We start from the raw sequence: 20852 nt of genomic DNA, 5'->3' as shown, positions 1-20852 counted from the left end.
ATCACATCACATCACATCAGCCAGCGGTGGCCAATGGGATCTAAGCAGAAGTTATTAATAGGTCCTTCAGGAAGTTCTCCTTCCTATTGCCCAACTAGACCTCCAAAATAATGACTGGAGCTTCAGCAGCCTTCTTAGACCATGAGGTATCCTTGATAATAGAAGTCACAAACTAAGAGTGATAGATGGAAAGATACGACAAGTAAACAGGAAAGTAGAAAAAGAGTGCTATTTAACACCTAATGCAAGTTGGGGAAGAATAGTATTCTATTCCACTGCTTCCATCTTCTGAAAAACTGAAGAAAAAATTTGACCTCTCAGTAAGTCTAATATTTTTCAAAATGCATTTTTTACATTAGCGAATTCTGAAAGAAATAAAACCAAAATTACATTTCTCCAACATAATTCCAAGTATATTAACTGTAAAAACTATGAGAGGGAAAAGGCGTATTTAATGTTAAAATTAAAAATGAAGAGTAAAAGTGACTTGATATTTCATATTATTAAGACAAATTTTAAAGGTGAGGCATTCTTCTGGGAGAAGCTGCATGTTGAGAGAGTAGGAGAATTTAAACATTAGAGAATTTAAAAACAGGTTCAGTGAAGTATTTTTTATACTTCTTACCATTAGCAATTCCCTTAGGGACTCATCCAGCTTTAAAAAAGTTTTATTAAGAATGGTGTCTGCTATTATTTTAATAAGAACTGTTACCAAAATATAACTGACTCCAAAGAAAAGATATAATATTGAGAATCACCAAGACCTTCATTCTTTTCTGCTTTTTTTTGGGGGGGTGGCGGGGGAGGGGGGACTAAAATGTTGGCTCACTTTATGTCAGCTATTTGCTTCTCAAAATCTGTATTTTTATTAAAAAAAATAAAAGCACATTTTAAAAATTATGAAACCACTATCCCTATCAGGGTTGCTTCTGTAAATAGACACACTTTAAATCCATAAAGACCCGTACCTCTGCCAATGGGTACAAATTCCATCTCTCTAAGTCATGTGATTCTGTCCTTTATAAGCCTAGGAGATGTCCCTTCACCCCCTCACGGCCAAAGGGAAATTCGAAATGGCAAATATTTTCAACATCAGGCATTTCAGACCACCTGAACTAATGACAACTATAAACAAAGGGCAAGAGTCATGTACCCAGAAGAAAAGATTTCAAGATCTTCCTTGAAACATACCCTACAAGAGTGTTTATTTCCAGTGTGAAATTTCTCAGGAAGCCTTTCACCCACCAGTTTTCCTAGAAAACGTCATGCATGTGCCCTTGTACACAGTATCTTATCGGTTGCCCAGAGCCGGGCTTTGAGGATAGAAGGGGGTTATGACAAAGCAGCTGTTATTTTAAATCTTTTTTTTTTCTGAATATGACTTAACATCTTTTCGGCTAGAACCATGTCGTCTCTAAAATAAGCCTTATTTCAATACAAAGCTTTTCAGATGACGGATACCACAAGTTCCAGGGTTCATTTAAAAATCAGAAAGCCTTGGGTGTCCCTGATATTTTTGTAGCTGACCCTTGAATGCATAGAAGGGTTAAAAGATAACAGTAGGAAGAGAAAGGCCTGGGTTCCCGTGACTGCACCTGCTACCAGCCGTGTGAACTTAGGCAAGTGACTTAACTCTTAGCCTCCATTTCTTCACATCCAAAATGAAATGAATAATCTCTACTTTATGTGGTTACTGTGAGGGTTGAACAAGCTGATGCATGTAAAGTACTTAACACAGTGTCCAATGCATCGTAAACACTCCATAAATATGAGCTATTGCTAAAGCATTCCTCTTTCTGTTTAGCTAACAGAACTCTGGGAAGACTCACTGACAGGCAAATTCAGAAATTCTTGGAATTATTGCCAGACACAGATACTAACTAAGGCCTCTGTGGGTTTGGGCCATTCTGAGTAGCAGCACTTGGTCCAAGTGGGTAAGCCAGACACGTAGCCTACAGATCTGGCCTCTGAGGTCCATCCACAGGAATTTAAAACTACAATTGGCAGAATGACGCCTATTTTGTGTCTACATCTACCATGCTGCCCAGAGTGGCTAAATCCTTTACCATAAACTGCTCCAAACAGCAACCCCTTTTCTCCTACCAGACATGCAAAAAAATGAATCCATGTGTGCATAAGTAGCAGTTCCAAAAATAATAGTGACATTAGATACTATAAGACCATGGGACAGAAGAAATTGTCCTGGGAAAGAATGTTCAGGAAAGAATTTATTGAGGAAACATGATTTGATCTGGGTTTTGAAGGATGAATAGAAGTTAGACATATGGATAAGAGAGAAAGCATGCCTTGGGTAGAGAAGAACATGACAAAGCTGTAGAGGTAGTAATGAGCAAAGACAAGCCAGTGGGTAATGAGTAGAGCTGAGAAGCTGTGCAGAGAAATGTGGGGTGGGGTAGGAGGGCAGTTGTGATGGTATAAGGAGCTGGAGACTCCGAGTAAGACAGGGACTTGATAGGGTCAAATTCATCTTTGTGTGCACAGGACAGAGCCTAGCACAGAGGAGTGCTCAATAAATACCTGTGACTACATCAGTGAATGCATAAACAAAATAAAATTGAATTTTCAGATGATTTGCCTGGCTGGACGTATTGGAGGAAAGAGTTGAGGATGGCAGCCCAGGTAGGAGGTTACTACAATAGTCTAAGCCTGGGTGATAAAGAACAAAACCAGGAAGTTCATGATCAACGTGAGAAATGTGTTGAAAGAAGAATTTTAAGACGTTAAAGATTGGCTGCATAGTGGAAGGAAGGCAAATTCCAAGGTGCTTTGGGCTCAGGGCCTGTGTAATTGGCTAACTGAGACAGCAGTGAGGACAATATTATCAAGAGCAAGTGTGAGAGTGAGGAAAAGAAGGTATAACAAGTCCAGCTTTGAGCACTTGAGGTGATGGGAAAGCAGCCACGTGCAACTGTCCCGTCCTCATATGAAAAAAAGGGTCTAGGAGCAAACCAAGATAACTGGAGGGTCCTCTTGAAGGAGACATTGTGATTCCCCAGCCTCAAAAGCATTTGTCTTATACTTGTTTTTCTTAGACAGCATTCTAAAACTATGTTAAGCTCTACATATAGTATTTTTTGAAAAATTGAGATTCAGAAAACAACCTCCAAGACTCTAAGTCTGGTATCATGCTGCTATTATGTGTGGAAACTTTCCTGAGGGCTAGTGTAAGAGTCCCAAATGCAGCTGCATCAGAATCACTTGGGTGTGGAGCCCTGGGATCTGTATTTCTAGCCTGCTCTTCAAGTCATCTGATGCTCACAGGAGTTTAAGAATGGCTGGCATGGAGAAAGGGAAGCCTCTCGATATCCCATACACACTGCCTTTTGACTCACTCCTACAAGAGTTCACCTAGGGTAACTGGTTAAACATAAGAACTCTGGAGCAAGATTGCTAGGGTTCAAATCCTGGCTCTTACTCTAGCTGCTTGTGCTTGAGTATGCTATTTAATTTCCAAGTCATTTAATGGACTGTCTAATATTTCCTGATCTAAACCAGGAAAATAAAGATGGTACTCCCACATGCGTTCCTATGAGGATTTTTTGTGTTAACACATACGAAGAACAGTTTCCAAGTTGGGCACTATGGACATTTGCATGGTGTGAGTGTTTGTTGTGGAGAGCTGTCCTGAGCATTGCAGGATGTTTAGCGGCATCCCCGGCCTCTACCCACTAGAAATCTGCAGCACCCTCCCTCCCAATCATGAGAATCAAAAATGTCTCCAGATATTGCCCAATGTCCTCTGGGGGCAAAATCACCCCCTAGTTGAGAACCACTGGCACAGGACAGTGCCTGGCCTTTGGTAAGCACTGGCTGAGTGTTAGCTACAGTCTCTCCTGAGCATTTGTTAGAAGGAATGCTGAATACTTTATGTTCATTGGCTCATGAATTCTCCCAACAACCCAGTAAGGTAGGTATTCTTGTCTCCATCTCTATAAATAAAGAAACTGAGGTTCAGAGTGGCAAATACCTTGCCTAAAGTCACCCGGCTAGCAAATCGTGGGGAAGACCTCCAATCAAGGTCAGCCTGATCCTCAGTCCCCAGCTCGCACAGCACTGCTGGCACAGTGCCAGATAATCATGCTCTCCTCTCACCAAGCAGTTGTCAGGGCTGTTGCCCTTGTCACACTTTTCTCCATGGGCAAGAGAGAAATCACAGTCACAGCACCCCTGTAGCCTACCGTCATGGGAATGTACCATCCTCCTACCTTGAATCCTGAAAGTCTGCAATCTAAGGTTTCACTCTATATCGGGGATAAGCTTCAGTTCACAAAACTAACACATGCTCATCTCACTACCTGGGTTAGGGCCCTCCTATGTATGTCCATCTGGCATGGGTGGATCACCCTGAGTAGTCTTCTCTGTGCTCCTGCGAGCACCCTCTCCTGGGACTGCACCCCATGCCTCTGTTTCTACACCACAAACACAGGACAAGTCACAGAGAGGTGTGCAAGAAATGGACTATTTGTTGAAGGAGTAAATAAATGACCTCTCTGTCCCTCAGGTTTTCTGAGATGTAGGCAGAGGGTCAGCCTCACTCTTGTGTTCTGTGAGATGATGGAAAGTATTACAGGCTTCAGGGACTGATCCACCTGGCTTTTCTAAACCCAAGCAGCACATACGTGATGAAGATGGAGCACCTGAGTCCTCCAAGCAGGCATTTCAGCTGAGGTTATTGGAAGAATGCCTTGCCACGCTTGTGCTAAAAAATCAGGGAGCAACCTGAATCAATAGCAAATTCCTAAAGATGTCTTCCCCTTCTAGTGAACTACATTTCAATCTATTTCATCATTTATGAGTTAACAGCTCTGGCTTCGGTATCAGTACACTGACCCATCACTCATTAGCTATATGATTTTGGAGCCACATGTCTGCTCGCTGAGCTCCAATTCCCTCATCTGTAAAATGGGGATCAGAATAACTACATCACAGGGTGGTTCTGAAGTTTAAGTGCATCAAGATACATAAAATACTTAAAACAGTGCCTGGCATACAATGAGCACTGTTATTAATATTTGTTGTATTGTTTTTTATAATATGAAAAAAATCACTTAATTGTCACAGATGTTAAAACAGAAGTTTTGCAGAGGCACATTCCAGAAGAAGGGCTAGATAAAATGCACAGAATAAGAGTTCAATAGGCTGTAGTGGTTGTTATTCACTATCTGGACCACACTGCTATCATAAGAACATGCTAGGTATGTGCTTCACGAGATGCAAAGATAATCCACAAAGGGCAGTTGGACTGTGCAGACACAGGGAAGAAGGGAGAAGGAGGTGATTTCAGACCCAGATTTCACAAAGAGCTGAGACAGCCAGCTATAGAAAGGTGTGAGTTGCGACTCGTGACCCAATACTTCCTGCCACAATACTGAGAACTCGTTTTCAACATGTTCTGTGGGCCCAGCCACAAGGGTGTTCCCTTCCACCTCCAAGCATGACTCTGATGATGCTGCCTGGGGCTAAAACAGGTAGTTGGTGAATTCTTCCTTTCAGTTCCAGTCTCCTGAAAACTCAGGTACCAAAAGTCATGCACAGTGCATCCCCTCAGAAGCTGTGAAATAGAAACTTTCAAAAGATAAGCTCATGTTTAACCACACAACCTGTGTCATTTCATAATTCTAAGCTTTCATAACCTGCATTTCCTGGGTAGCTGGCATTATGAAAGTGCCATGTAATATGCTCAACAAAGTCATAAGGAGGAATATGCAAGGTTCTTAGGTGAATTGAATCACTCTTCAAAGACTACACAAAGCTTAATTTGGAAAGATTGCAGGAGTTGCCTTCACTTCCTTGAATTCTCACTTTAATCTCCACCTCCTACCACCTTGCCATCTATCTCTTCCCAGGCCTGATTTCACCCACCTGGCTTGGAGGTCCCTCTCCTATTTCCTAGAGCTGATTTCTCCATGAGGATACTTGGTCTCACTCATATCTTCACTGCCTGGAAAAGGAGCTTGAGTCTCCTGTTTTCTAAAAAGAAACAAGAAAAAAATACTACCCAGAAAACTTCCTCAACCCTACCGTCCCCTCAAGTGTCTCCTATTTCTCATCTTTTATTACCTCCCAGTGGGTTCACAAATGCTGACTATAAACTGGCTTCATCTAAGTCATCTGCAAAAACTCAGTTTCCTAGGCCTGTCAACTAAAGATTTGACTCATAAGGTCTGATGTGAGGTCTAGGAATTTGTAATTTTTAAAAACCCTCCAGGTGATTACAGTGTTCAAGCCAAGTTCAAAAAACCACTGGTCTATGTGTCCTCTATTTATTTCATTACCATTCACTCCAAACACCTGCTAAACTGATGCGCTCACTACTGAAATTGCTTTCTCAAGAGCCACCAAAGACTTCTAGTTGCGGTGTTCAGTGGCTTATTCTCAGTGCTCCTTCTCAGCTTCTCAGTGGCAATCCAGAAGGCAACAGTGCTCCACTTTGGCTCTCTCTCCTCCCTTTTCTGTTGGGAACCTTTTAACCCTACTACGACCACGCAAGCCAGTACGCCACATCTGCTGTGTCCACTTCCTCCTTCCACCCCCTGACGCGTGTGCACAAGCAAGATTCAGACAGTGGTTTTCTGCTGCTCCATCTTTGGAGATCTCATCCAGTCATATCATTTTACTGGGCCTTGAAACTGACTTCCAAATATGTCTCTCCAGTCACTGTGCATGACATTTGGTACCTGAGTTTTCAGGAGACTGGAACTACCAAATATGTCTTGATTTCCCTCCTGGACTAGACTCCCTTCATACATGCATTCTCATCCTTCAATTTAGCAACTCCCAAAGTCATTTCCCCCAAAACTAATGACTCTTCCAGAAATCCCCACTTCAGCTAATGACAATCATTTTGCCAATAATCTATCTTTACAAGTTTAAAATGTCTCCTGCCTTTCCTCTCTTTTCCTACTTTTTTGTGCTTTTTGATTCTTCCTTTGCAATATTTACCAGTATTACTTCTTGCACATCTCCTTTCCACCTCTAGAGCCTCTACCTGAACTGTCTTGTCTGCCTGACATTTTCTAACTCTCATCTCCACTTCTCTAAACCCTGGACTTCCTTTAAGTCCCACACCAAATTCTCCCTCTTTCATGAAGCTTTGATCTCATGTCCACTTTAGCACATAGTCATGTCTTCTTCTGCTGACCACCATGAATGTTTAACTTCTGTTCTATTCATGTAGCACTCACCACTTGCTGCCTGAAAATACTATTTCTCTATTTCTCTCACATTCTCTCCCTGCCACTGGATTATGAGTCTTTTCTTGAGGGCAAGGACTCTGTCTAATAACTTCTTAAGACCCCACATTGTAGCACTATTCTTATGTTTAATAAATATTGCTGGTCATAAAACAGAAGCCTTTTTTTGACAACTCAATACCCATAATAAGCCTAATTATTTGCACCAAAGGCAAAAGGCTAGATGACTAGCACTCAGTAGCTAGAACAGCTGATGCAGCACCCTGTTGGCACAATATGCATGAATGCTTCCCACTTTATTCCAGGCCAGTGTTTCCAGCCATCATGTCAGAGCTGAGTGGAGTGGCACTGGGTGCCAAGGCAAACACCCAGCCCAGCTGTGCTGGGAAGAACTGAGCTCCAATGTGTCTTGTGACCCAGCTCCTCCCACCCACCTGGCTGTGTCTCCTATCCTGCAGGTACCAATCCAACTAAGCTAAGGGACTAGGTCCCTGCCATTAATTGAAAACAGGTGAACAAACATGAGAAGAAGGCATGATTGTGTTCTAGTTGCCTCGGTGGGGGACAGGGGGTAGTATAGCAGGGGGAAGGGCAGATGCTGAATTTTGAGCATTGTTCCAACTGCTGGAAACCCTGGTCAACTAACACAACTTCCTCTAGCATTATAATATTGCGTCCCATATGAAGAGTCCCCAGTGTTGGAAAGCGCACTCCTGGAGTTGGTTTTCCAATAGGATGTGTTTGTGCTCCCTCCTACCTGCCTCATGACACATTCATACACAGAGGCAGAAGAGGCAGGCAGAGTTAGAAGCTTTTACTATGGTGACCATGTAGGATAGGTAAGCCACAATCTCAATTTCTAATTCTCTTGTAAATACCCAAATAGTCTTCCGGGGCGGCAGGCGGCGGTGCCAGGGGAGGCAGGCGGCAGCGCAGGAAAGGGGCTTTCTGGTGATTATCATTTAACTTTTTTCTGTATTTTGTAATTTTCCTGTAATTTCATACAGTTACAACAAATAACAATGAATGCAATATCTAATAACCAAGGGAAAAGCATAGATACATGCTCTTTTCATTCATTTGCATTACTTATCCTTGTCGAGCCAGATGCTTCCGTTTTGATTTGGCAAATTCACTTACCATTTAATGCCAGACCAGCCTGCCACCCTGGGCTTTTTACCTTTCTCAAGCCAAGCATGCCAGGGAGTGAGATTTGGGAAACCAGGGGCACAAAATGCCCAAAGAGTTTTCTGCAGCAGAAGCAGTTTAAAATGACTCAAGGCCCCTGTGATCCCTTCCAAGAACAAGAAAGACATTTCAAATAGGTTGGCTATGCGTGCTGGGATCATTCCCTCAACTCTAAAATGTCATCTTGTGGATGTTTTCTGGAAGTAGAGACTCTGCCTAGGGCATGTGGGTGCTTGTCTTTGATTTCCAATGTAGACAGTGATTAGGAGACAGGAGTGAAATGAGTCAGCTGCATTTCTAGAGGATTTTCTAAGTAATCTAAAAGAATGAAATGGGTCTTTATGTACTAGTTTGGAAAGGTCTTCAAGATATATTAAGCAAAAATTAATGTGAACAATATGATCCCATCAACATGAAAGAATGAAACTATAAATTTTCAAACACGTAAATGCACACATAAAAAAATCAAACATAATAGGGATTACCTATTTTTTAGAAAAGAAGCATGAGATAGCAAATGGGAGTTTTCATTTTGTATATGATTTTTATAAGAAGGTTTGGTTTACTTATATCATATACATTAAAACATTGTCTAAAGGAATATAAGAAATGTCTAACCGGCCAGGTGCAGTGACCCACACCTGTGATCCCAGCAATTTGGGAGGCCGAGGTGGGCGGATCACTTGAGTCCAGGAGTTCGAGGCCAGCCTGGCCAACAGGGCAAAAGCCTGTCTCTACTAAAAATACAAAAATTAGCCAGGCGTGGTGGTGCATGCCTGGAATCCCAGCTACTTGGGAGACTGAGGCAGGAGAATCACTTGAAACTGGGAGGCGGAAGTTGCAGTGAGCCGAGATTGCACCATTGCACTCCAGCCTGGGCAACAGAGTGAGACTCCGTCTCAAAAAAAGAAAAAAAAGTATCCAACCAAGGCTAATAAACCATCTAGGTAGTTTTCTATCTATGCCTGAAAATAGCTACAATAACTTTTGGGTAGGGAGAAAAAAATAACTTCAAATAATCCACTTACTTTATCCAATCCATCAGCAAATCCTGTTGGCTGTTCCTCAAAATATATGCAGAATTCAGCCACTCTTCAGTATCTCCCCTGCTCTTACCTTGTCTAAGCTCTGCCATCACTCACAAGCATGATGGCAATGGCTTCCTGACTGTCCCGCCTGCTTCCATCCTTGTGCTTGCACTGTCTGTTTTCCACACTGCTGGTCCTGAAAAATGCTACTTTCCACTAAGAAGCCTCCAGTGGCTTCTCATGTCATTCAGAGGAAAAGCCAAAGGTCTTAACAGTGACTGAGAGGCCCTGTAAGCCTCCATAATCTCTCCAACCCCATCTTCTGCTACAGATAGTCCCAGCCACACTGGTCTCTTTTCCGTTACAGAACACTCAAGGCACACTCCTGCCTCAAGACATTTGCACTTACTGTTTCCTCCACCTGGAATGCTCTCTCTTCAGATTGCCCCGTCATTGTTCTCCTTACTTTCTTCAGGTCTCTGTCCAAATGCCATCCTTTTCATGAGGCTTTCTCTGATTGCCCTAAATGTTCACTCTCATTTTTCTTTTATTTTTTACCAAAATCAAACACACTCTGTATTTTATGTTTTATTTGGTATATTGTCTGCCTTCCCCTACTAGAATAAAAGCTCCATTTGGAAAGGGTTTTTTTTTTTTCTGTTTGTTTGTTTGATGGCTGACTTGCTTGATTGTTTTTAATCAGTTTAGCTTATGGCTGTATCCTAGCACCTAGAGTCATTCCTAGACCATATTAGATGCTCAATAATGTTTTGTGGGATAAATGAAGTTTGAACAAGCCTTTTTATACACACCCTTAACTATTAAATCAAGCTTGTTTCCTTTTGTGGGGATATGGTAGTCACTTTCCTCCTCTGAGAATAGTATTAGAGATTAATAGATTAAAATGCCCAAGTATTCTGCAAGCTTGGCAGGAAGGTGTTGCCCAAATGCACGTAGCAGCTCCTTGTGCTGAGGGCCATTCCTTCATGCTGTCTGTCAGCTGTGTCTGTTGTGCCTTAGAACAGAACATGTGCCTAATGTGTATCAGCACAAGCTGCCCACACGTACCACCCTAGCAGGAGAAGGAGGTCATGTCCAGTTACAGACTGCTGAGCTATTGCACAAGCTACAGAAAGGGAGCCCAGCTCTAGTCAACAAAAGCAGATAAAGTACTTGACCTATAGAGAAGCAAGAGGGAAAAAGAAAAGGCCCAAACTTACAGAGCATAAGAGGGAAAGAGAAAAATTGACCTACATACACAACATTTGGAAAAGATGCATGTTGGAAAGAACAATTTGAGGGTGAGTCTATCCAAAGTCTCAGTAGGTATCGAACATCCTAACACTGCTGTCGAGCCTTGACTTCTGCCACAAAAGTAAATCGTGTTTTTCCTGTGTGAACACGTTCGTATTGTTTCTCAGATGCTCAAGTCAGAACTCACCTGGCCTCTAACTGTCAGAGGGAAAATGATGACGTGGACACATCAGGGCTTGGAAGCCAAACAGACATACGTTCCAATACTAACTCCACTAGAACTACCAACTCAACTCTGGACAAGTTGTTTAACATTTGTGTAACTCCCTTTCCTAGTATATCAAATGAAATAGTGATATAGGAGTTAAGAAGAAATTACTTAGGCAGACAGTGAGGGTACGGGAGTCCTCCATAAGGTTTTCCTTTTAATGAAAAGCAGCCCCCAAATCATTTTCTTTTCTAACAAAGAACAGCCTGTAAAATCGAGCTGCAGACATAGACAAGCAAGCTGGAAGCTTGCACGGGTGAACGCCGGCAGTAGTGCCAATAGGAAAAGGCTACCTGGGACTAAGCATGTTCAAAATGGCGGCTCCATCTTCCCTTCTCTTTGCCAAACCATGTGTACAGTAAGGAGAAGACAATATGGCACCAGCCAGGCAAAGACCCCATTTGCATAATAAGATTAGAATGGGGCAACCAGCCTTTCCCTCCCTATGTAAACCTCATACTTGGTAGAGCCAATCTGTGGGCCCTACATAAATCAGACACTGCTTCCTCAAGCCTGCCTATAAAATCCAGCGCAGTGCCCCACAGGCCAGCTTTTTCCTTTCAGGAGCTCACCTCTCTCTGGCAAGGGAGAGAGCTGTTCTCCTTTCTCTTTCTTTTGCCTATTAAACCTTTGTTCCTAAACTCACTCCTCGTGTGTGTCCGTGTCCTTAATCTTCTTGGCGTGAGATGACGAACCCTGGGTATTTACCCCAGACAATGATGCCGCTTCAATAGGAATAATATCTATTATGCAGGCAGGTCTTTCTGTAGATTAAAACTAATATATATTTATGTATATATATAAAACTAACAAGCAATGGGCCCTCAATAAATAGTAGCAATGGTCATCATTATTAATACTAGTACCACCATTGATAATACAATAATAATGAGTCTTAACCCTGGCAGACTCAATTTAAATTTGAGCTGGAATGTGCAGGGTTTTGTCTGTTCATTGTGTTTTTTGTTTTGTTTTCCTTTGTTATGTCACTCCTTCAGTGCCATCAGACTGCCTTTGTATTTCTTTTTCAGAGATTTCTGGGGGCTGTTTCCAGTAAACAGGTAATGAAATGAAAGTGTCATTTTTCTTCCACAGTCATTGTCAGCCAGTTTGAATTTAGGGTGGCAATCACAAGGAAGATCTGCAGCCACATGCCATCTTGTAAAGCCTAAAAGGGGAATCTGAATCTGATCAAATTATTCTTAAAAGCCTTTGGTGACCTCCAGTCTGTTAGGACAAAGACTAAAGTCTTTCTTGAGGCCTTCAAGGCCCTTCAGAACTGGCCTTTACTTATCTCCCCATTTTTCTTGGCCCATCACACTCTAGTCACCCTACCTTCTGCCACTTTTTTGAATTTGTTATATTGTCTTCCTAGACTAGACCCCTCTCCCAGCTCTTCACTGCCCAATCCCTTCAGGACCCAGTGGAAATATCATTTTCTTAAGGAAGACTGACTGAGCCTCCAACAGGATTCCTGATCATATGGTCTCAAGGAGACCTGTACTTTTCTTTACCAATATTGTATTGCTATTCATTTGTTATTTGTCTTTTTCCATTTATTGTCTACCACTTCTAGGCATTAATTTCATAAGGGCAGTGACCTCGTCATCCTTTCTCATAGCTGAAGCAGCTGCTGAAGTTTAGTAGGGCTGGGCATAGAAACTTGCTTTATAAATATTTGTTGAAAGAATAAGTGGAGTCATGAGCGGGTAGATGCTGTTTTTGGGTAGATGCTGTTTTAGGCTAGTGGCACCCAGCTTGGATCTTTGCAAGGTCCCTTTGGAGAACAGAGCCATTCTGAGAGACAGAAGAGCGATAACCAGCAATGCCATAAATAGTAGAAGGCAAATAATGTGCATTGACAGAGGGAAGGCCTTCTCACCACATTGACAGGGTTTGTCTGCTCTGAGGCAATGCCATTGACAAAGGACACACATAAACTACTACTGGTGGAGCAGGAATAGGCCTTCTGCAATCTCATGCCTTCGGCAGCCCTCACTGAGAGTCTAGCCTTGCCCTGTCCAATATAGGACAGCCACTAGCCACATGTGAGCCTTTGAAATATGACCAGTACCCCCCAACCCCCACCAAGGAACTGATTTTTAAGTGTTATTTCATTTCATACTTGACATTTAAATTTAAAACCTGATACTCTATTCAGTTGGAAAAAATAAAAATGTTTAGAATAATATGGATATGTGAATCTACTTTTTCAGTTGTAAACTTTAGGAAGTTTAAACCAGGATTAACTATCTCTCTCTCTCTCTCTCTCTCTCTCTCTCTTTTTTTTTTTTTTTTTTTTTTGAGGTAGAGTCTCGCTCTGTTGTCAAGGCTGGAGTGCAGTGGCACAATCTTGATTCTCTGCAACCTCTGCCTCCTGAGTTCAAGAGATTCCCATACCTCAGCCTCCCTAGTAGCTAGGATGACCGGTGTGCACTACCATGCCTGGCTAATATTTCGTATTTTTAATAGAGACAGAGTTTTGTCATTTTGGCCAGGCTGACCTTGGACTCCTGACCTCGTGATCCGCCCTCCTCAGCCTCCCAAAGTGCTGGTTACAGGCATGAGCCACCGTGCCCAGCCAGGACTATTTCTTAAGGAAAATTTAGCATCCCATTTGAAACGTGCTGCAAGTGTAAGATATGCCAAATTTCAAAGGCAATACCGGAAAAAGGCAAAATATCTCAACAATTTTTATATTTATACACATTAAAAAATTTTAGAAATATGAGGTTAAATAAGCACATTCTAAAAAATAATTTTATCTGATTTTTTTTTTAATGTGGCTACTAGGAATTTTTAAATTGCTTTTGTTGTCATATTGCATTTCTATTGGACAGAGCTTCTCTAGAGAAAGAGAGATGAGAAAACATTTCTTTCAAACCAGAGCCCCAAAGTTTTAAACAGATATCACAGTGGCCCATATTTGGAAGGAAGGGACAATTAAAAAGAGAATCTTCCTTCATTACATGAGAAAAAAACTATTATATTAAAACCTGAAGTGGTAGACACCTGAGTAATATCAGGAATTGTGAAAAAGAAGCACAATTTCTCTTCTTCCACAGATAGCTGTAATGTTCCTCCTTGCAGTATTTTCAACCATGAGGGAGTTGTAGATTACAGAGACAGCTTCCTTTAGACTGACTTGCCTGGCAGATCAGCTAAACTGGTAATGAAATGATGATAGTGACTATAAATTATTGTGTTCTTCTGAAGTACCTTTCCTCTATAGATCTTGCAAGATTTCACAAATGCTAATTAAATCTTTCACAATATCCTACAAGGTCAAAAACTTAACTTCCGTTTGAGTGGTGAGAAAGCAGAGACTATGGTGATTTGCCTAAGGCCACAGAGCAAACCAGCCAAGACTAAGCAGGGAGGGTGCACAGTCCCTCAGCTGGGCTGCTAATCCAGATGGCTTCTCTTAAGGTGCCAGCCAGGCAATCACAAAATTATTCTTTCTTTCCAGAGTGCCAGCACCCACTAACCTGTAAATAGCACCTTGTTCAGGGGGAGTGATATTCTTTGGTAAGTGACCGTAAACTGATTATACCAAGTCCTTCAATGGAGAGATGGTGGTTAAAAAGCAAAACTGAGGCTGGTAAATTTTTACCATTTCTTTGTAGACTGTATGATTTGGGGCCTTGCTGCTCAAAATGTGGTCAGCAGCATTGACATCACCTGGGATCTCATTACAAATGCAGAATCTCAGACCTCACTCCAGATGTGCTGGATGAGAATGGCCATTTTCACAAGCTCCCCAGGATATGTGTGCCTGTTAAAGTTTGAGAAGCACTGATCGGAGGACTTCGGTTATAATCCCACCTCCTTCTATAAGTGATTAAAGAAAATTCACTTATACTCTCCTTTGAACAGCTGTATGCTTCTCAATTTCTCTCTCTCTCTCTCTCTCTCACACACACACACACACACACACACTTTATTTTTCAATCTCTATAGACTTGCTTCTTTGTAAGGCTCTCAATTTCTCCTCCCCAGTGACACAAGCTTGCATGTGGATATAGCTCGTCATGGTGCCTATTTATCTTCAACTTTATGCAACCTTAGCACTCTTTTACTCAGAAACCTTTTGACTGGGAGAGCAGGGCAAACTCAAATCCCTACAGAGACCAGGAAGGCAGCATGGATGAGTGCAGAAAGCTACATTTGTTTCAGAAAGGAATCAGTGTATATTCTTTCAGCAGACACATTTAGTTTGTTTCTTATAAGCCACTAGAAGAGTCATTACTTTCACAAAGTCATATGCTTATTCCCATTTTTCATAAAATATGGCCTATCTTCAGTTTTCCCAGTTTTGATACAGAAAAAAATATAAGAAAGATTTTCTATTTCCTATAACTATAAAAGCCCACTAATAGCACCAGCACAGCCACCCCTGGGCTTCACACAGGGAGTGGCAGGAGCTGTGCAGATGGAGAGTGCATACTGGTGTGAAGGGGGCAATGGATCTCAGCTCCAGCCATTGTCTTCATGCAGGAATTTGGGACCATTTTACCGGATCCTCCCATTTCTTCAAGAGAAGCCGGAAATCTGGATTTCTATGTGAAATCTCCCACTTTTTTATGCTGGCAACTAATTTTCTTTAAACACTGTGCCAAACAAAACATACCTGCAGGCCAAAATCTACACCCTCTGGGCTGGATTTCAATGTCTCTTAAACTCTCAACAGAGAGCATCTTACTGTTTCAGTTCAGGGTAGATGTCTACCCATGGTCCCATCGAGTGGGGTCTGGATATGGAATCAGCTAGAAGAAGCATAGTCTATGCCCATTCTTTCAGCAGGGACTGTGGGCAGGAAACCATTTCCAAAGAAGCAGGCATGAGTTGGTGGCCATACAAATATATATGTTATATTGATAAATATAAAAACAGGAGATTCTGGGGGACCACAAGTTTTTACAAATTAGGCTTATTTTAGGATAAATTCACCCTTGTTAGTGTGCAGTTCTGTGAGTTTTGATATACATATGCAGTCAAGTAACCACTCCCACAATTAAGATACAGAATAATTCCATCACCCCCCAAATTTCTTGTATGCCCCTTTATAGCTAGCCCCTGACCCTAACCTCTGGCAATCACTAATATATTCTCTTTTTCTATAGGCTTGCTTTTTTTCAAAATGTCATATACATGGAATCACACAGTTTATAGCCTTTTGAGTCTGGCTTATTTTACTCAGCATAATGCCTTTGAGCTTTAACCATGTAATTTCATGTATCAGTAGTTCATTCCTATGTATTGCTAAGTAATTTTCCACTGTATAGATGCACCACAGTTTGTTTATCCATTCACCAATTAAAGCCATAATCAACTTCCATGTAGAAGTTTGTGTGTGAACACAGTTTTAATTTATTTGGGGTTACTACCTAGGAGTGAGATTCTGGGTCTTATGGTAAGCATACATTTTACTAAGAAACTATAAAACTCTTTTCCAAAGTGGCTGAACCATTTGACATTTCTAACAGCAATATTTGAAAGTTCCCATTGCTCTGTATCCTCTCCAGTACTTACATGCTCAGCATTTTGGTTTGGTCTGGTTTCATTGTTTCTGAGCTCTTCTGATAGATGTGGAGTACACCCCCATTTTGGATGAATTGTGCCAAATGTGTAGACCATCCTCAAAATCTAAGGTCTCAGTAAAAACAATTAAACATGATTTCTGATATAATGTCTTATCCTTGAAAACCCTGACCCATCCATCTTCAGCACATTCACATGTGTAATAAGGTAAGTGATTTTTAATTCCACCAGGTTTAAAGACCCCTGACGTGACTTATTGCCATTCTGCTACTGAGCCTTGAGAGATTATGGTAAGTGCCAAGAAAAAAAAAATGACTTTGAACTGCTCTTTCACCAGTTAAAAATAACACTGAAACCAAATGTAAACATAAAAGAAGTGGTCAGATTCGGGTTACATATTAACGGTGTTTGGTCAGGCTGGAGCTGAGGCACAGCAGCAGAGAATGCCTTTTACTTATCACTGTTTCCAAACCTCCCTACCTGGACTAGGCTTGACTGGATTTACAAGAGACCTTTTGAAAAGATGCAGAGAAGGCAAGCAGCACACATTTCCTGGTAATAAATTTTAAAGGTTGCTAAAACATTCCAGAGATTTTCACTCAACATTCCTCTGGCCAACACATCTGCAATCTGCCAATCCTTAAAAATAGGTGTTTTTGCATTTTAATCTCACAAACATCTTTGAAAATGCATTTCTTCTCTGCCCCTGTGTTGGACAAATCCAGCTTTTTCCATTTTCTAAAAACCACAGAAATATAATGCTGCTTAATTCATACAAGACTGAGCTAACTGGAGTTAAAATAAAATTTCTGAGAGTTTGTTTGGCTCACTCTTCCCTACCAGATGATTCCATTCTTAAAACGGTCCTGTGATTATATTCTCTCATTACAGAGGTGTCCAGAAAAAAAATAAGGAGTGCAGTTCTGAAATTATATAAAAGCAAAATTATTACTCTAAACGTAAGAGCTGTGATAGATCGTGTCATTGACCATGGTTCTTTTCCCCTGACACACACGTCCCCACCACCCACCCACTGTATCCATATGCCTTTTGCCATATGACTTTGCAGCTCTCCCCACTAAAGGGGCAGCCATGCGATTTGCTTTGGCCAATGAAATGAGGCAGTAGTGGTGGTATCCTAGTTCTGAGCCTAGGTCTCAAGAAGTCTTATGTGTTTCTGCTTATCCTCTTATACCTCTGCCATCACCATGAGCCAAACATCCCCCAAGTAGCCCACTGGTCCCAGGACAAGGAGGGAGACATGAAGCAGAGCTCATCCAGCTGCTGCAGCCCCACTTGACCCAGAGACCTACACTGGGAAGCAGAGCTGCCCAGTCAAGTCCAACCTGGATGTGTGGAACCCCAGCCAACCTGATGCATGAGCAGTAAGTGTCTTTTTTAGCCACTGAGATTTGGACTGGTTTGCTTAGAAGCAAAAACTAACTGATATAAGTACATCCCTGAATTGTTGGCTTTACCTAAATATATATATATATTTATATATACAATATAAAAAGATACATAATATATATAAATATATATTTTATATATATATATATATATATATATCAGTTACTTAGCATTTTAGAACTCTGCATGCTTTCTACATGAGGTTACTTCCAAAGGCAAAAGGTGCTTTAAAAAATTGTAAAAGGAGAAACTTAATAGAAATACCAGCGTCTGTTGGAAGAAAATCTCTCATAGTTCCATGTTGCCTCATTCTGCAAGCAAGCCAACTCTTGATCCCCATCACCCCTGATGGATGGGGCTGGAGTTGAAGTTGCTATCATGCCATAGACTGTTCTATGTACAATTCTTCCTCTTGCATCATTCCGCTTTCTATGGTAGTGGTCCTCAACCAGATCAGTTTAGCACCCCAAAGCATATTGATAATATCCAGAAACATTTTTGATTGTCACAGCTGGGTCGGAGAGAGCATATTATTGGTATCTACTGGGTAGAAGTCAAGGATGCTGCTAAACCCTACAATGCACAGGACAGTACCCAACAACAAAGAAAAAATCTGGCCCAAAATGTCAATATTGCCAAGGTTGAGAGACCCTATCCTCTGATTTAAGTTGAAATTATTTTTTGATTCTTCCCCCTTATAAGAGTATGTAAGTTTGAGGAATTGCATGACAAGAGCTTATTAAATACAGAAAAAAAATCCTTTTTAAAAAAATCCAGACCAACTTTTCTATATGTAATGTGCAATATATATGAATGTATATCATTCAAGGTATAAATGACTTTTTCACAAATATCTCAAATAAGAAAAAGTTGAAGAAAACCTTTGGATATTTCTATATATCTAGAAGCAATTACTAGTACCTCAAATCAGCTGTCAAGAAAATACTTCATTTTAAACATTTTTGAATAAATAAACAAATATGCAAAGGCATCCTTTGCTGATGAGCCTCCACTCCACCCAACCCCCACCCCAAGGGCATTAGAGATTTATAATGCAGCAGTTGCAACGATCTGGGGCATGAGGCCATTTTGAATGAAATTGCTGTGTTATGACAATATCCTTTGGTGTTTCAGTAACTAAACCCTCTTAATGACATCCTAGGGAGATCAGCTTAATATTGAATCCTAGCCTCAATGCTTTGGATTTGTGCCAAGAAAAATAACCTGATCCCCAGAATCATTGAGAATTGACGGGGGTCCTCAGGCTGGTGAGTCAACTGTGGTTGAAATATAGGTGTGGAATAGTACGTATGCGGCTGTTTCTGATGAAAGACTGTATTTGGATAAGCTGTCTAAAATAATGGAACTGGCAAAGCTGGAAGGGACTCCTGAGATTCAGTGAGGGAGGGTTTTTAATGTATGATGGGTTCTGTGAAGGCATTTTTAAAAATACAGAGAATTTTTAAATAGACTGAGAATTCAACAAAAGAGGGGACCTAGGATGACCTGCTCAAGATTTGAGACGATGAGGAGAAAAATAAGTCTGCTGGAACAGCATTTCAAATCCTAGACAAACGATAAGGTTACAGAGGAGAAGCCATAAAGCTAGAATTGGGCAGAAGGGCCCAGAAAGGGAACAAGTGAGATCAGAGGATTACCATGATCAGGGGCCAGGAGACCTGTGGTTGGTAAAACAGGCCATGGTATGGTCATTCCTCAGACATGTTCCGTGGAGAGGACATCAAAACAAGTAGTCAAGATTCCATTGGTTGGAAGAATTAAGGCGATGGAGTAGCCTAACTTAGAATTGAGGGTGAGACCTGGGGTAATATTTTTTAAGAGCCTGATCATTATTAACTTATGCCAAGGTAAAATAAATGCGGTATTGCTAACCTGACTTTACTAAGGAACAAAACTATTTCATCGAGAAACTGGCAACACATTAAATTGATGGTAGCGTTATGCTCTGGTGGTAAATTTTAATCTATGTTCCACAAAACCATAAAATTCAGTAGGGACCCACACCAGAAGGAAAGAACAAGAGAGGCCAAATGTGTGGGTATCTGAGCTTCCCGCCCCCACTTCAACCAGGAAAAGCTCTACTTTATCTGCTTTAAACATTGGAGCTCTGCCTAACTTTTCATCTGAAAAAATAGATTCTGCTGCTGAAAAGAGTTTGAAAAACAATGCACTAAAAGGCAGTGGTCCCTGGTTGGGGAGCAATATTGCTAGAGAAATTAAAAAAAAAAAAAAGAAATCAGCCCATGACCCCAGGGCTAAGAGTCTTTTAGAGACAATGGAACTTTTTCTGAGCAAAGCGACAGTGTGAAAAGTTGGCCTGTGTGTTGGAGGGCTCCTCCCTGATTTTGTTCATGTTGGGGGACCCATATAATTTATTATTTTAACTGGGAAATTTTTGAGAATAAAGGGGGGTTTTATAGATATGTATTCTTTAGAACAAGAGGCATAAATTATGACTGCCCTGGGCAAATTAAAATGTTTGGTTGCCCTAATTAAAGTGGGTACTTGGCCATATTCACATGGGCCTCGGTGGGAAAGATAGACCCATTTCTAGCTTCACCACTAGTGTAGGTTGCTGTTACAATGACTAAAGATAAGAAAATTAACTTACACAATTGGATTCGCCATATATGACAAGGTCTAGTTTGCTTACTAAATGGGAGAAATGAGAGAAACCTCCTTAAGGTTTCTATCAGTGTCATGATTTTACATTATAGGCCCTCTGCACCCCTGAAGTTGAAAGCAGAGAGAAGGGTTATTGGGAGCACTTAGTCCGTGCGCCGTTGCTCACGGATAGTGACCAGGCATAGATTTGGTTACACTGTCAACCCTTCTCCAATATCATAGAAGACTGCTCGGACTTGTGGATCCATACATTTACACCCTTCCTCTTCCCCACTGTTGGCCACCCCTGCATCCCCAACCCCA

At 41.3% G+C, this 20852-nt stretch overlaps 1 long non-coding RNA gene across 1 annotated transcript in view, besides 2 other annotated features; it reads left to right on the top strand.

Annotated features, from left to right (window-relative positions):
* LOC105378415 (uncharacterized) overlaps positions 1-20852 on the top strand; it is a 31664-nt gene that overhangs the window by 7132 nt on the left and 3680 nt on the right. Inside the window, exons 2-5 of the long non-coding RNA XR_007062225.1 lie at positions 7520-7672; positions 11984-12013; positions 14422-14480; positions 16725-17878. This is a non-coding gene — a long non-coding RNA (uncharacterized LOC105378415). The remainder of the gene's footprint in view (positions 1-7519; positions 7673-11983; positions 12014-14421; positions 14481-16724; positions 17879-20852) is intronic.
* Positions 5418-5467: an enhancer, noted in NCBI's record as "active region_3718". NCBI's record gives its function as "activates an Ori minimal core promoter by ATAC-STARR-seq in GM12878 lymphoblastoid cells {active_cell/tissue: GM12878}" and the evidence as "EXISTENCE:reporter gene assay evidence [ECO:0000049][PMID:35858748]".
* Positions 16756-17050: an enhancer, noted in NCBI's record as "tiled region #10781; HepG2 Activating DNase matched - State 8:EnhW". NCBI's record gives its function as "activates a minimal TATA promoter and a strong SV40 promoter by Sharpr-MPRA in HepG2 cells {active_cell/tissue: HepG2}" and the evidence as "EXISTENCE:reporter gene assay evidence [ECO:0000049][PMID:27701403]".

The sequence above is a fragment of the Homo sapiens genome, chromosome 10 (genome assembly GCF_000001405.40).
Source record: "Homo sapiens chromosome 10, GRCh38.p14 Primary Assembly".
Taxonomy (NCBI): Eukaryota; Metazoa; Chordata; class Mammalia; order Primates; family Hominidae; genus Homo; species Homo sapiens.
Note: the sequence above shows the minus strand (reverse complement) of the source record. Positions and strands in the feature narration are given on the sequence as shown.